The sequence below is a fragment of the Homo sapiens genome, chromosome 17 (assembly GCF_000001405.40).
Source record: "Homo sapiens chromosome 17, GRCh38.p14 Primary Assembly".
Lineage (NCBI taxonomy): Eukaryota > Metazoa > Chordata > Mammalia > Primates > Hominidae > Homo > Homo sapiens.
In genome coordinates, this window is record NC_000017.11 from 20,711,735 (window position 1) to 20,726,312 (window position 14,578).

General features: G+C 40.5%; 1 pseudogene across 1 annotated transcript in view; it reads left to right on the forward strand.

Moving 5' to 3' along the window:
* LOC100287072 (ribosomal protein S6 kinase B1 pseudogene) overlaps positions 1 to 14,578 on the forward strand; it is a 107,286-nt pseudogene that overhangs the window by 78,290 nt on the left and 14,418 nt on the right. Inside the window, exons 5-8 of the transcript NR_172472.1 lie at positions 8,797 to 8,851; positions 9,477 to 9,733; positions 12,862 to 12,984; positions 13,880 to 13,986. The product of NR_172472.1 is annotated as a ribosomal protein S6 kinase B1 pseudogene (transcript). The remainder of the gene's footprint in view (positions 1 to 8,796; positions 8,852 to 9,476; positions 9,734 to 12,861; positions 12,985 to 13,879; positions 13,987 to 14,578) is intronic.

Consider the following 14,578-nt stretch of genomic DNA (forward strand, 5'->3'; position numbering starts at 1 on the left):
AGATCCACCTACCTCGGCTTCCCAAACTGCTGGATTATAGGTGTGGGCCACGTGCCGTGGCCCAACTGTACTATTTCAATGAAGCTCCTGTACCCTAGGTCATCACTGACTTCCCAGTTGCTGAATCCAGTTGTCGTTACTGAGTTCGTCCTTAATTTAACTTTCTTTTGCATTGAAGCTACTGACCACAGCATTTTGAAACTCTATTCCTTTCATTACTGTGATTCTACTTTCCTTGTTTTTCATCTTATCTCTTAGTCTGTGGCTTCTCAGACTTCCTCACAATTGATTGCTTATTTTAAAAATTCAAAAATTTAAACCTCCTGAGCAGTTCAAAAATAATATACTTTTGAAATTTTTAAAAACTTTTCTAAGAGTTCCAAGGATAGGTTGGTGATCACCAGTTGATACCATTTTGCCATATTTTCTTTGTCTGTGTGTCCCTCCCTTTCTACCTGCACCCACATATATGTATATCTATGAATATTCACTTTTTTAACTTTAATAAATTTTCTTGCTGTACAATTTGAGAGTTAACTGCAGATTTCATAGCACTTCACCCCTAATTTCTTCTATATATCTCCTAAGGGCTTTTTTTTTTTTTTTTAGGAGGAGTCTCACTCTGTCACCCGGGCTGAAGTGCAGTGGCGCAATCTTAGCTCACTGCAACCTCCATCTGCTGGGTTCAAGCAATTCTTCTGCCTCAGGCCCACAAGTAGCTGGGATTACAGGTGCCTGCCTAATTTTTGTAATTATAGTAGAGACGGGGTTTTGCCGTGTTGACCACGCTGGTCTCAAACTCCTGACCTAAGGTGATCCGCCCTCCTCGGCCTCCCAAAGTGTTGGGATTACAGACATGAGCCTCCTTTCCCGACCTCCTTTTCCTTTTGTAATTAACAAGTGATCTATGGAATGATAGAAACAGTGTGAATATTCTGTCCCATAATAATCTTTACTTAATGGTTTTATCTGGATTGCCTCTTGCCAAATCAAATATTACTATGATTATAAAATGGAGACTTTTCTATTTTTTCTGCATTTTTTCTATATTGTCATTCTTCTGTAAAGATTTTTTTATGCTCCTTTTTTTTTTTTTTTTTTTTTTGAGATGAAGTCTCGCTTTGTCACCAGGCTGGAGTGCAGTGGTGTGATCTCAGCTCACTGCAACTTCCGCCTCCCGGGTTCAAGCAATCCTCCTGTCTCAGCCTCCAGAGTAGCTGGGACTACAGGCATGCGCCACCGCGCCCAACTAATTTTTTGTGTTTTTAGTAGAGATGGGGTCTCACCATGTTGGCCAGGAAGGTCTCGATCTCTTGACCCTGTGATCCAGCCACCTCGGCCTCCCAAAGTGCTGGGATTACAGGCATGAGCCATCGCGCCTGGCCCTATACTCCCTTTTTAAATTTTTTTTTTTTTTTGAGATAGCGGTTCACTCTGTTGCCCAGGCTGGAGTGCAATGATGTAGTCTTAGCTCCCTGCAACCTCCGCCTCCCAGGTTCAAGCAATTCTCCTGCCTCAACCTCCTGAGTAGCTGGGATTACAGGCGCATGCCACCACACCTGGCTGATTTTTGTATTTTTAGTAGAGATGGAGTTTTACTGTGTTGGCCAGGCTGGTCTTGAACTCCTGACCTCATGATCTGTCTGCCTCAGCATCCCAAAGTGCTGGGATTACAGGTGAGAGCCACTGCACCTGGCCCCCCCCCCCTTTTTTTTTTTTTTTTTTTTGGAGACAGGGTCTTCCTCTGTTGCCCAGGCTTGAGTGCAGTGGCGTGATCGTGGCTCACCACAGCCTTGGACCCCAGGCTGCCTCAGCTCACTGCAACCTCTGCTTCCCAGGTTCCATGATTCTCGTGCCTCAGCCTCTGAAGTAACTGGGAGTACAGGTGCGCACCACCACACCTGGCTAATTTTTGTATCTGTAGTAGAGATGAGGTTTCACCATGTTGGGTAGGCTGGTCTCAAACTACTGGCCAACATGGTGACCCACCTGCCTTGGCTTCCCAAAGTGCTTCATATTGTTAGCCCTAATTCTAGTCGAATTCCATAGCGTTCTACTTCTTTATTTTTATTTTTTTATTTTTGAGGTGGAGTCTCGATCTGTACCCCAGGCTGGAGTGCAGTGGTGTGATCTCGGATCACTGCAGCCTCCACCTCCTGGGTTCAGGCAAGTCTCTGCCTCCGCCTCCTGAGTAGCTGGGATTACAGGTGCCTGCCCCCACGCCTGGCTAATTTTTGTATTTTTAGTAGACGCGGAGTTTCATCATCTTGGCCAGGCTGGTCTTGAACTCCTGACCTTGTAATCTACCCGCCTCGGCCTCCCAAAGTGCTGGGATTACAGGCGTGAGCCACCGCGCCTGGCCACATTCTTCTTTCAGGTCATATTTGGATCTCCGTTTTTTCTACAGTGAGAACTCTGGTAACAACATAAATAAATGCATTCATTTGTTCAGTTGTACAATATATGCGTAATGAAAATTATAATACCAATAGTATTTCCAGCTACAAACCTACTAAGTTTGATTTAATATTTCTTTGCAATTTTTTTGTGTGCTTACATATAGGCTACTAAGGGTGTGCAGTCTGAAATTACTTAAGTATCTTTTTCTCGCCAGGAGCAGTGGCTCACGCCTGTAATCCCAGCACTTTGGGAGGCCAAGGCAGGGGTATCACGAGGTCAGGAGTTCGAACCCAACCTGGCCAACATGGTGAAATCCCGTCTCTACTAAAAATATAAAAATTAGCTGGGCGTGGTGGCAGGCACCTGTAGTCCCAGCTGCTTCGGAGGCTGAGGCAGGAGAATCATTTGAACCTGGGAGGTGGAGGTTGCAGTGAGCCAAGACCACGCCACTGTACTCCAGCCTGGGTGATAGAGTGAGACTCTGTCTTAAAAAAGAAAAATCTTTTCCTTTTATATCTTTTTTCTCTTTCTCTTTCTGTGGTGAAATTATTGGTGTCATAGTCAATTAAATTTATGTATTCTTATTGTATTCAGTTCTGCTTCCCACCCCTCATCCTTGTTGATTTTATTTTATTTTTAGAATATATTAAACATTAATATGGTTCAAAAAGAAAAATCTACATTTTATAATTGCAATAATATTTGATTTAGGAAAGAAAAAAATGGATGATAAACCCATTGAGGTTTTACTCAGAGGGTATACTCAAAAGTCTGAGTTCTTGTCCTTCCCTTCCATTATCATTAGCTTTTAGTTTATCTTAGTTGTCTTCATTTTTGCAGGTATAAGCAGATACATATTATATGTATATAATGTATTATATTATATATATTATATATTATATATATTATATATATTTATTATACATATTATACATATTATATATTATATATATTCTCATTTCCCCTTTCTTGTACAAAAGATAGCATAGTATCCATGCTGCTGTACTTTTAAATACTCTTTTGTATCTTGTTTTTATAGAGATGTTTCTTATTTTAATAGCTTTGTTACACGTTGTGTAGATTCCATAGGTTTTTGGCCAATATCCTATGTCTGAGCATTTAGGCTGTTTCCAGTGTGTCAGTTTCACAGATAATGTTGCAACCAGTAACCTGTGTATTTGCTTTCCATATTACTTATGGAGATGTACCATTGGGTTAACTTCCTGGAACTGATACCTGGCATGTCTAAAACAGGGCATCGTTTTCCCAAAACTTTTTCACTTTCATTTGCCAGTATTGAATGGCACCATTATCTATCCTATTACTTATGCAGAAATAAAGGTATCTTCATTTCCTCTCATGTCTAGTTTGTCAGCAAATGCAAATTATGTATTCTTAGCCTTTCATTTTTTTCTACCTTCATTTTCTTACAGATCTTCTTAGTTGGTTTATTATACTAGCCTCCTAACTAGTCTCATTTCTCTCCTAATACTCCCTACTGCTACTAGATGTGTCTTTCATAAAGCCAAAAGTTTGTTCATTTCACCCAGATCTTCCTTTGTCCAGACCTTCCATTTCCTGGCCTCTACCTGCTTCTGTAGCCTAATCTCTAACACTTCTAACCATGCTGAACTACTTGTAGATTCCCCAGACATATCCTGTCCTATCAAGCCTCTTTTGCACTGGAATGCCTTTTTTTTTTTTTACCTTCTACATTTCTTTCTTTCTTTCTTTTTTAACCATTTTTGTGGAGAATGGGGTCACGCTTGTTACCAGGCAGATCTCAAACTCCTGGGCTCAAGCGATCCTCCTGCCTCTGCCCACCTAAGTGCGGGGATTACAGACATGAGCCACCGCATCCAGGCCACATTTCATTTTAATAACCTTCAAGCAAGACTTTTTGCTAGGTCAGATGTAGTTCCCCTGTTTACCCTTACCATCCTGCGCTTACCTACATTGACTTGTCTTTTTTTCCCTGAGACTTTGGGCTCCTGTGGACTTTTGGACTCCTATGGACAGGGCATTCCTTCAATTCTGCTTTCATGGCACAGCCTGGAGCATGGTAGACACTCAATAGTTTGTGAATATGTGAATAAACTTGATCTGATTACCGATATCTTTTTTAAAAAGTCTCTTTAGGTATTCATTTACATGTTCACTGCAAAAAATCCAAACTGCACAGAGGCATATATAAAGTGAACATTTTCCATTACCCCATCTCAGTGTCTAGTGGGAACTATGGTTAATAGTTCAATATTGGCAAGAAAAACACAAAATAGATTTTCCAGTTACTATAGAATAAAAATGTTCACTATTTTGTTCTTATAGATCATCTCTTTTCCCTTTAGGCAATGATAGTAGGAAATGCTAAAGATACAGCTCATACAAAAGCAGAATGGAATATTCTGGAAGAAGTAAAGCATCCCTTCATCGTGGATTTAATTTATGCTTTTCAGACTGGTGGAAAACTCTACCTCATCCTTGAGTATCTCAGTGGTCAGTACACAGAGTTTGGTGTAATTATTTGCATTTGCTCCAGAAACTGGGTCAAAATGTTATTTTTCAACGGAAAAATACTTTTTCCCATTATGATCAAATAGTGCTTAAAATTGATGAGTACGCTGAAGTACAAAATTCAGATATGACCAAATGTTTCTTTTGGCAGACAAATATGGAGGAAACTGAAGATTTTTTTCCCTCATCTGTAAAATTTTATCTTATTTCCTTTGTAATCAGTCACTTAACAGAAAAACAAATACCTAAGTGATGCAGAGCCATCAAATTGTACTGGGGTAAGATACTGTAATTTAAATAATTGGGAGGATTATTTAACATACTGACTATTTTTGGAATTGGGTCTTTAAACAAGAGTTTTTGTTTATTGTAGCCTTAGTGATGGGGTGTGTAGCTTATAATGGAAATCATCCACATTTGCCAGGGCCTACCACCTCATAGGAACTTGTTGCTTCCATATCATTTCTAATCACTGGTATCTATTTCTTTTTTCTTTTGAGATGGAGTTTCGCTCTTGTCGCACAGGCTGGAGTGCAATGGTGTGATCTTGGGTCACTGCAACCTCTGCTTCCTGTAGTTCAAGCGATTTTCCTGCCTCAGCCTCCCGAGTAGCTGGGATTACAGGCATGTGCCACCATGCCCGGCTAATTTTTGTATTTTTAGTAAAGATGGGGTTTCACCATGTTGGTCAGGCTGGTCTCGAACTCCTGACTTCAAGTGATCCACCTGACTCGGCCTACCAAAGTGCTGGGTTTACAGGTGTGAGCCACTGCACCCGACCACAGGTATCTATTTCTAGCAAACACAGTTCAGTTCTCTGAGAAAGATTTTGCAGTAACATGTAACATGGAACAGAAAGGTGCAGAATGTAGCAACTTTTTTGTGACTATTGCCATTGGAAAAACTTTTTTTTTTTTTTTGAAGATGGAGTTTCACTCTTCTCGCCCAGGCTGGAGTGCAGAGGCGTGATCTCGGCTCACCACAACCTCTGCCTCCCAGGTTCAAGTGATTCTCCTGCCTTAGCCTCCCATTTAGCTGGGATTACAGGCATGCACCACCACACCAGGCTATTTTTTTGTATTTTTAGTAGAGCTGGGCTTTCACCGTGTTGGCCAGGCTGGTCTTGAACTCCTGACCTCAGGTGATCTGCCCGCCTTGGCCTTCCAAAGTGCTGGGATTACAGGTGCGAGCCACTGTGCCCACCCAGAAAAACTTTATTTTGACATAATTTCATATTTAAAAAGTTTTAAGAGTAGTATAACGAATTCCTATGCTAGGCTCAGTGGCTCATGCCTGTAATCCCAGCACTTTGGGAGGCCAAGGTGGGTGGATCATGAGGTCAGGAGTTTGAGACCACTCTGGCCAACATAGTGAAACTCTGTCTCTACTAAAAGTAGAAAAGTTAGCTGGGCATGGCGGTGTGCTCCTGTAATCCCAGCTCTTTGGGAGGCTGAGGCAGGAGAATCGCTTGAACCTGGGAGGCGGAGGTTGTGGTGAGCTGAGATCGCGCCACTACACTCCAACCTGGGCAACAGAGCGAGACTCAGTCACACACACACAAAAAAAGAATTCCTATATATCTCTCACCTGGATACCTGGGTTCCTCAAATGTTACCATTTCACCACATTTATTCACCACATTTATTTTGTTTTATCCTTCTATATATATGTATATATGTGTATACATATATACATGCATGCATGCATAATTTTTTGAACTGTTTAAGAGAGTGTTACAGACATGATTTCCCTTTACCCCTAAAATTTCAGTGTATGTTTTCTTTCTTTTCTTTTTTTTTTTTTTTTTTTTTTGAGATGGAGTATCACACTGTCGCCCAGACTGGAGTGCAGTGGCGCAATCTCAGGCTCACTACAACCTCTGCCTGCCAAGTTGGGATTACAGGCACCCACCACCACGCCCGGCTAATTTTTGCATTTTTAATAGAGATGGGGTTTCACCATGTTGCCCAGGCTGGTCTCGAACTCCTGACCTTAGGTGATCCACCCGCCTCAGCCTCCCAAAGTGCTGGGATTACAGGTGTGAGCCACTGCGCCCAGCCTATTCAGTGTATATTTTCTAAAATCAAGGACAGTATCTTACATAACTATACTAAAATGATCAGAAATAGGAAATTAACTTTGATGCAATTATAACTCTCCTTAGTTTCCTTTAATCAGGAACATTTCCTCAGTCTTTCTTTGACTTTCATGATGTTGACATTTTTTATTAGTACAGGCCAGTTAGTTTGTAGAAATGCTTTGGGTTTAGCTGATGTTTTCTTAGTATTAGATTCAGGTTATGCAATGTTGGCAGGACCATTGAACTGACATTGTGTCCTCCTTAATGCATCAGATCAAGAGGTACATGATTATTTATATATTTGTCCCATTACTTGTGATGTTAACTTCAGTCACACGTATAAGGTGGTGTGTGCCGGTTTTTCCCCTGGTGACATTTTTGCCTTTGTATTTAGTAAGTATCTTTTGAGGAGATACTTTGAGATTATTTAAATATCTTCCATCAAACTTTCATGTTCAGTTTTGTTCTTGTTGCTATTGTTTTTTGAGACGGAGTCTCACTCTGTCGCCCAGGCTGGAGTGCAGTGGCAGGATCTCAGCTCACTGCAACCTCCACCTCCCAGGTTCAAGTGATTCTCCTGCCTCAGCCTCCCGGGTAGCTGGGATTACAGGCAGGCACCACCACACCCAGCTAATTTTTTTAGTTTTAGTAGAGATGGGGTTTTGCCATGTTGGCCGGGCTGGTCTTGAACCCCTGACCTCAGGTGATCTGTCCGCCTTGCCTTCCCAAAGTGTTGGGATTACAGGCGTGAGCCACTGCGCCCAGCCCACATTCAGTTTTGACATCCATTGATTCTTGCCTGCAACAATTAATTGTGATGTTTGCCAAGTAATTGTTCTTATTCCGTCATGCCTTCTTCATTTATTACTTGGCATTCTACCGTAATAAAGAACTTTCTCTTCTTCCCCATTTAAAAAATTTATGTATTCATTTATTTATGTCATTGTGGGCTTAGGGATTCTAATACCATTCAATGTGATATAACCCTTTATTATCATTATTTATTTTGATACTCAAATTGTGCCATGTTTTTTACTAGGCCACTGCCAGGTTCATTCTGTTTATTTAAGGGTTCTGAAAATACGAAATATGAGCATTCACTAAAATTAGTGAGGGTGATTTAATTGTAGACGATCATTTTTCTACTTATGGGTAAAATGTTAAAGAGTTTTTAATCAAGATTTTTTTTTTAACCTCAGGTCTGGAATCTACAAATATTTCAAAGTTTCTAGATATAAAACCTGGAATTCCAAGGCAGTTCTAGTTTTTAAACATATGTGTTTCACAGAAGAATAAGAATGCTACTAAAAATAGAATCCTGAGGACTTAGTTTTAAAACCTATAATTTTTAGGATCTGTTTTTCATGTTTAAGGGGCTGATGTCTTTTAATTATGGTTAGAAGGAAAGCACAAACTCTCTCATTAGAAGTGGGTTGGAAATAAATGTTTTATTTCTTTTTTTTTTTCCTTTTTTTTTGAGACGGAGTCTCGCTCTGTCGCCCAGGCTGGAGTGCAGTGGCGCGATCTCGGCTCACTGCAAGCTCCACCTCCCGGGTTCACGCCATTCTCCTGCCTCAGCCTCCCGAGTAGCTGGGACTACAGGCGCCCACCACCACGCCCGGCTAATTTTTTTTTTTTTTTTTAGTAGAGACGGGAGTTTCACCGTGTTAGCCAGGATGGTCTTGATCTCCTGACCTCGTGATCCGCCCGCCTCGGCCTCCCAAAGTGTTGGGATTACAGGCGTGAGCCACCGCGCCTGGCCATATTGTTTTATTTCTAATGTTTTTTCTTTTTCTTTACAGGAGAACTATTTATGCAGTTAGAAAGAGAGGGAATATTTATGGAAGACACTGCGTGGTAAGTGAACTTTTTGTGGTTGCAAAGATTCAGGTAATTACAAGCAAAGCCCCATTCCCACTATGGGCAGCCACATGATTCAGTAAATTGATCTGGAGCCAGTCACTCACTCAGGACTTCACGGGGGAGAAGCAGTTTTGGGACTGGGCGGGTATGGAGGTCACATCACTCCTTTGCCCTTAGGCTTGAGTGGAACGCTCTTCACACCAGTTGTTCCTAACAGAACCATTCTCATTGCTGCTTGCTTTCCTTGAATTGGTGAGCTGCCTGCCTTGACTGTGGGTGAGTGTGGTTTTCCAGTGAACCTTTATGTGTGGAACAATGGAAATTATCAGAAATCATCTCCTTTTTTTTTTAGGCTTTCTATTTCTCAAGGTGCAGTCTTAGGGAGGTGATAAGCCTGGCATATCATCTGTGGTCTGATTATATAGTCAGGATGGGATTTACCCTCCTATTTCTAAACATGTCATCTGCTTCAAATTAAAAATATGCACATCATTTTGTGAAGCAACAATATTGGATCACAATAAATCAGTTTATCCTACACATTAATTTAATAGAAAATAACACTTAAATGTTTTTTCTACCTTAATTACCAAAACTGCATTCCATTGTTTAATTTCAGGCCTTTTCTAACACGGAAGCTGCATTTAAGAGCCTTAGGGATGAAGTGCCCTTTTGTGGAGGAGGCTCACTGAGCAGTGTTGGAGGCTGTGTTTGTGGTCGTGCTGGCTGTGAAACTGCCTCAGTCCTTCCTCTAGGACACACCCTCTCCATCCTGGAATAATCTGCAGGATTGCAACATTGTTAAGCAGCCAGTATTGCGGTGCCTTGTGCTTTTCACATCCAGACAGGGTTGATTCAGCCCTTTATTCTTTTGAGGTAGATAAATTTGGGTGTCACACAGTTTATAGTTGTGGGCTGGCTGGCTGGAGGGAGGGCGGATACTGTGGGCCTTAGCTGTCTATAAATACGTAGCTGTATTAAGTAAGGGATGAGTGGGCTTCTAAGGGTCAGGTTATAAGATAGCTTTTGAAATCAAGACTTGATCTCTAGAATAACAACGTTCCTATTTCCTATGGGATTTTAAAGTTGAGTGTGGATGGGAGAAATTTGTTTTGAAATGAATGACTATTAGCTTAATTCCTACAGACAGAACAAAACATGACCAATGGCAGTTTAGCATATTCTGGACATCTTTGCAATTTTAGCAGTATGTTCTAATGGCAAAATAAAGCACTTTATAGTTTCACTAAAATGAGTGAAACATAAATGTCCCCATGCCTTTTGGCAGCATCCTATGCCATCTCTTCTTCCCATACATCCCTGTACCCCACTAATTTGGTCTTTGGTGCATGTCTGTTTCTTTCAAGGAATTTTGCTCCATACATAAACTGTTTTGGATAGATTACACTCTTTTTAATTCTATTAAATCACTTCTGTTTCCAGCTTTTACTTGGCAGAAATCTCCATGGCTTTGGGGCATTTACATCAAAAGGGGATCATCTACAGAGACTTGAAGCTGGAGAATATCATGCTTAATCACCAAGGTGGAGACATACCATAAACAATTCTATAGTAAATAATCATCTTAAAATCCTCCCACACAGGTCATGGCCATTTTCAAAGCCCCACAGTCATCTCTCTATTTTGTATATTTCCTCCCTCAGAATTTATGGCATCATAGTACTTGCTGATGTTTTAAGTCTTTAGGTAATTACACTTGGTGAGAGTAAAAGAAGTTGAGGATAATAGTTGCTCAATTGCCTTTTTTAGTTTAATCCTTACTCTATAGTTTTTCATGTTTTTGGAATCCTTACATAAAATGTTGTGTAATGTTTTAGACTATAAAAGCCAGTCTAAACATTAATTTTGGCTTGTTACTTAAATTGAAAAGTGAATCTTAATTATATAAGTCGAGTTTTAGTAATGAAAATATGTAATTATTGGCTGGGTGCGGTGGCTCACACCTGTAATCCCAGCGCTTCAGGAGGCTGAGGCGGGCAGATCACCTGAGGTCAGGAGTTCAAGACACCTGGCCAACATGGTGAAACCCCATCTCTACAAAAAAAAAAAAAAAAAAAAATTGCCGGGCATGATGGTGGATGCCTGTAATCCCAGCTACTCAGGAGGCTGAGGTGGGAGAATCGCCTGAACCCAGTAGGCGAAAGTTGCAGTGAGCCAATATCGTGACATTGCACTCCAGCCTGGGCGACAGAGCGAGACTCCATCTCAAAAAAAAAAGAGAAAAGAAAAAGAAAATATGTAAATATTAGAAGCTATGCTTCTTACAGTAGGTTTTATTAATGCTGGAAAAAGGATTGAAATGGAACCAAAGTATTTGATAAAACTTGGGGAATATGATGTTTAATAGGCATCAGGTTACTCTTTTTTTTTTTTTTTTTTTTTGAGATGGGGATCTCACTCTGTCACCCAGGCTGGGATACAGTGGCATGATTACAGCTCACTGCAACCTCCGCCTCCCAGGCTCAAGTGATCCTCCCACCCCAGCCCCTCAAGTAGCTGGGGCCACTGTGGCACACCACCACGCCTGGCTAATTTTTGGTATTTTTTGTAGAAATGGGGTTTCATCATGTTGCCCAGGGTGGTCTCAAACTCCTGAGCTCAATTGATCTGCCTGCCTCGGCTTCCCAAATTGCTGGGATTACAGGCATAACCCACCTCCCCCACTGCCAGAATCAGTTTATTCTTGCTGTTTGTTTGCAACAACAAACATAAACATCAGAGAGACCGATAATCTATACAACTATAGATATAGCACCGTGAGCCTTGACTACAACTGCCTGCTGCTACAGACAGCTCAATTTATGCTAATCTGGGCTGTGGGTAGACTTGGCAATTCACTCATACCCCAAAGGAGCAACCAGATGACCCAGGGTATCTAGAAGGTGGTAGCAGCTGCTAATCCTTAGATGTCTACAGAACAATCCATGAGGTAGTTAATTGTTTCAAACTCTTAGAGAATGATGTATGAACAACCAAGGCTCATATAAACATTCCAGATTATACTCCTCCACCCACCTTTTTTTTTTTTAAGGAGAAATGATATACTTAACTGAATAGATCATGGGAATCAGCGTCTCTTCCTTCCTCTCATCAACACCTCCTCACTCCCCAAAACCTGGTTCTGATCTGAATTCTAAGTCACAGGATAGAATAGGGGAGTGATAGAATAGTTGACTTCTCCTTTCATTTATAAGGTTGAGTGTATCAGATGGTTCTGTGAAAATAAAGGCCATACTTCTTCTGTATCAGAGTGTAGTATATGTTTACATTTGAATCAATAGGTCATTGTGCCTTTTCTATGAAATGAACCTCAAATACTAGAGCCCCTGAGGTTGTTGAACCACTTGTTATGACAGTCCAGTAAAGAAAGCTAAACTTGAACTGAAATGATCTTTGTATAAGGTGGTAAGTTTTTTACTTTCTGGATCAGCGATGATTGATTCATACTATCTAGCAATTTTCTTTCTTTCCCCTAATTGGTAGCATTGGGCAGAATGAGCTACCTTGTTATAGTGACTTTCTGAGACCATTTTAAGAACTCTTCACAGTTCACTGTGATAAAAGCTATATATTTGAAGTACTATCTCACACCTTTGTTTAAAAGGTACAGAATATGTTTATTAGGGTCTGTGTACTTAAACTAGACTCCATAAAACAGTTTTTCCAGGATTTTTCTTTTTCAGGATGGTAGAGGATTCTGTGTATACTTAAAGCTAGAGCCTTAAACAGGTTATTTCACTTTTTTCTCTATCTTTATTTTCTCTTTACCAGATAGATTGTATCTTTGGCAAATGTGACTTTGCCCTAGCCTTAAACAGTTAGCATCCCATTTTATGGATGGTACCTTGTTCTTGACATCTGCAAGAAAAGTTTGAGGCAAGAAAAGTTAAATGGAAGGATAGATTAAGGTGTTATATGACATGTTCAAACACTGCACATACTTAGAATTCTGAGAATAATCATGCTGTAATCTTTCATTGCAGGTCATGTGAAACTAACAGACTTTGGACTATGCAAAGAATCATTCATGACGGAACAGTCACACACACATTTTGTGGAACAATAGAATACATGTGAGCTGCATGTTAAACATAATTGGTTTGGAGGTAATAGCTAATTTTACCTGTTTTAAGGAATAGTATCTGTTTTCTGTACCCTCATTGACTCTGTATATTGTTTTTAAAATTCTAATTCACATGATATGCCAATGGGGGCATTTTAAAGCATATTATTTTCCTCATTGTACGGCCCCTGAAATCTTGATGAGAAGTGGCCACAATTGTGCTGTGGATTGTTGGAGTTTGGGAGCATTAATGTATGACATGCCAACTGGAGCAGTAGGTGCACAGTTAAAAGCTGCATGTATTATGGTCTATGCTGAGTCACTGTAGCAAGAGACCTGTCCTGTGCTTTCTGAAAATGTTACCAATGGAGTTTTCAAAGCCCAAAGATTTGTTATTAGCAGTTTAACACTAATAATGCTGTATGATTATATGGGATCCCATACTTTGAGAAACATTTTCGTTGAAATGATCTGTGTCATGGCAGGCCTGTGAAATAGATGTTGAACAGATAATGCTCTTATTTTTATAAATACAGAAATTGAAGCATAAAATCACATAGCTCACTTATTATCACACAGCAAGTTAATGGTGGAAACACAGGCTTCCTTCCAGGACACTGCTACTTCCTCTGTCCTGTTGCTTAAAAACTGCACGTCTGCCAGGCACAGTGGTGCATGCCTGTAGCCCAAGCTACTCAGGAGGCTGAGGTGGGAGGATCATTTGGGCTAAGGATTATTAATAGAATCTAGCCTTGACAAGAGACCCTGTCTCTAAAACAAAATAAAGGTCTTTAGCAGTTAGCCCATTTCACAGCATACATTTCTGATCTCCATGCATAACTAATTCAGGAAATGGATATGGTTATTTAAAATTTGTTTCTTATATACTAATATTTTTCACTTCCTGCTAATATTTTTCACTTGTCTTCTACTCTTAGCCTCCATTTACTGGGGAGAATAGAAAGAAAACAATTGACAACATCCTCAAATGTAAACTAATTTGCCTCCCTACCTCACACAAGAAGCCAGAGATCTGCTTAAAAAGGTAAGGTTCTTAAATGGTCACTGACAGTATAAGATTCAATGACTAGGATTTAACTAGATAGAATTTAATGTATATTTTGAATAATATATAGTGAACAAAAAAAAGTCTTCAATTTTTGAAGGCGAAGTACAGATTTGTTTAACGACTTTCTTTTCATATTCTTTTTTTTTAATTCTTTTTTTTGAGACAGAGTCTCGCTCTGTCACCCAGGCTGGAGTGCAGTGGTGCGATCTTGGCTCACTGCATCCTCAGTCCCCCAGGTTCAAGCGATTCTCCTGCTTCAGCCTCTCGAATAGCTGGGATTACAGGCGCCCGCCACCATGCTCCGCTATTTTTTGTATTTTTAATAGAGACAGGGTTTCACCACGTTGGTCAGGCTGGTCTGGAACACCTGACCTCAGGTGATCCACCTGCCTTGGCCTCTCAAAGTGCTGGGATTACAGACCCTTAAACAATTATTCAGTAGTAATTAGTAAACTATATATTTTTTTCTTTTCTCTTTTTTCTGAGATGGAGTCTTGCTTTGTCCTCCAGGCTGGAGTGCAATGGCATGATCTTGGCTCACTGCAACCTCTGCCTCCCAGGTTCAAGT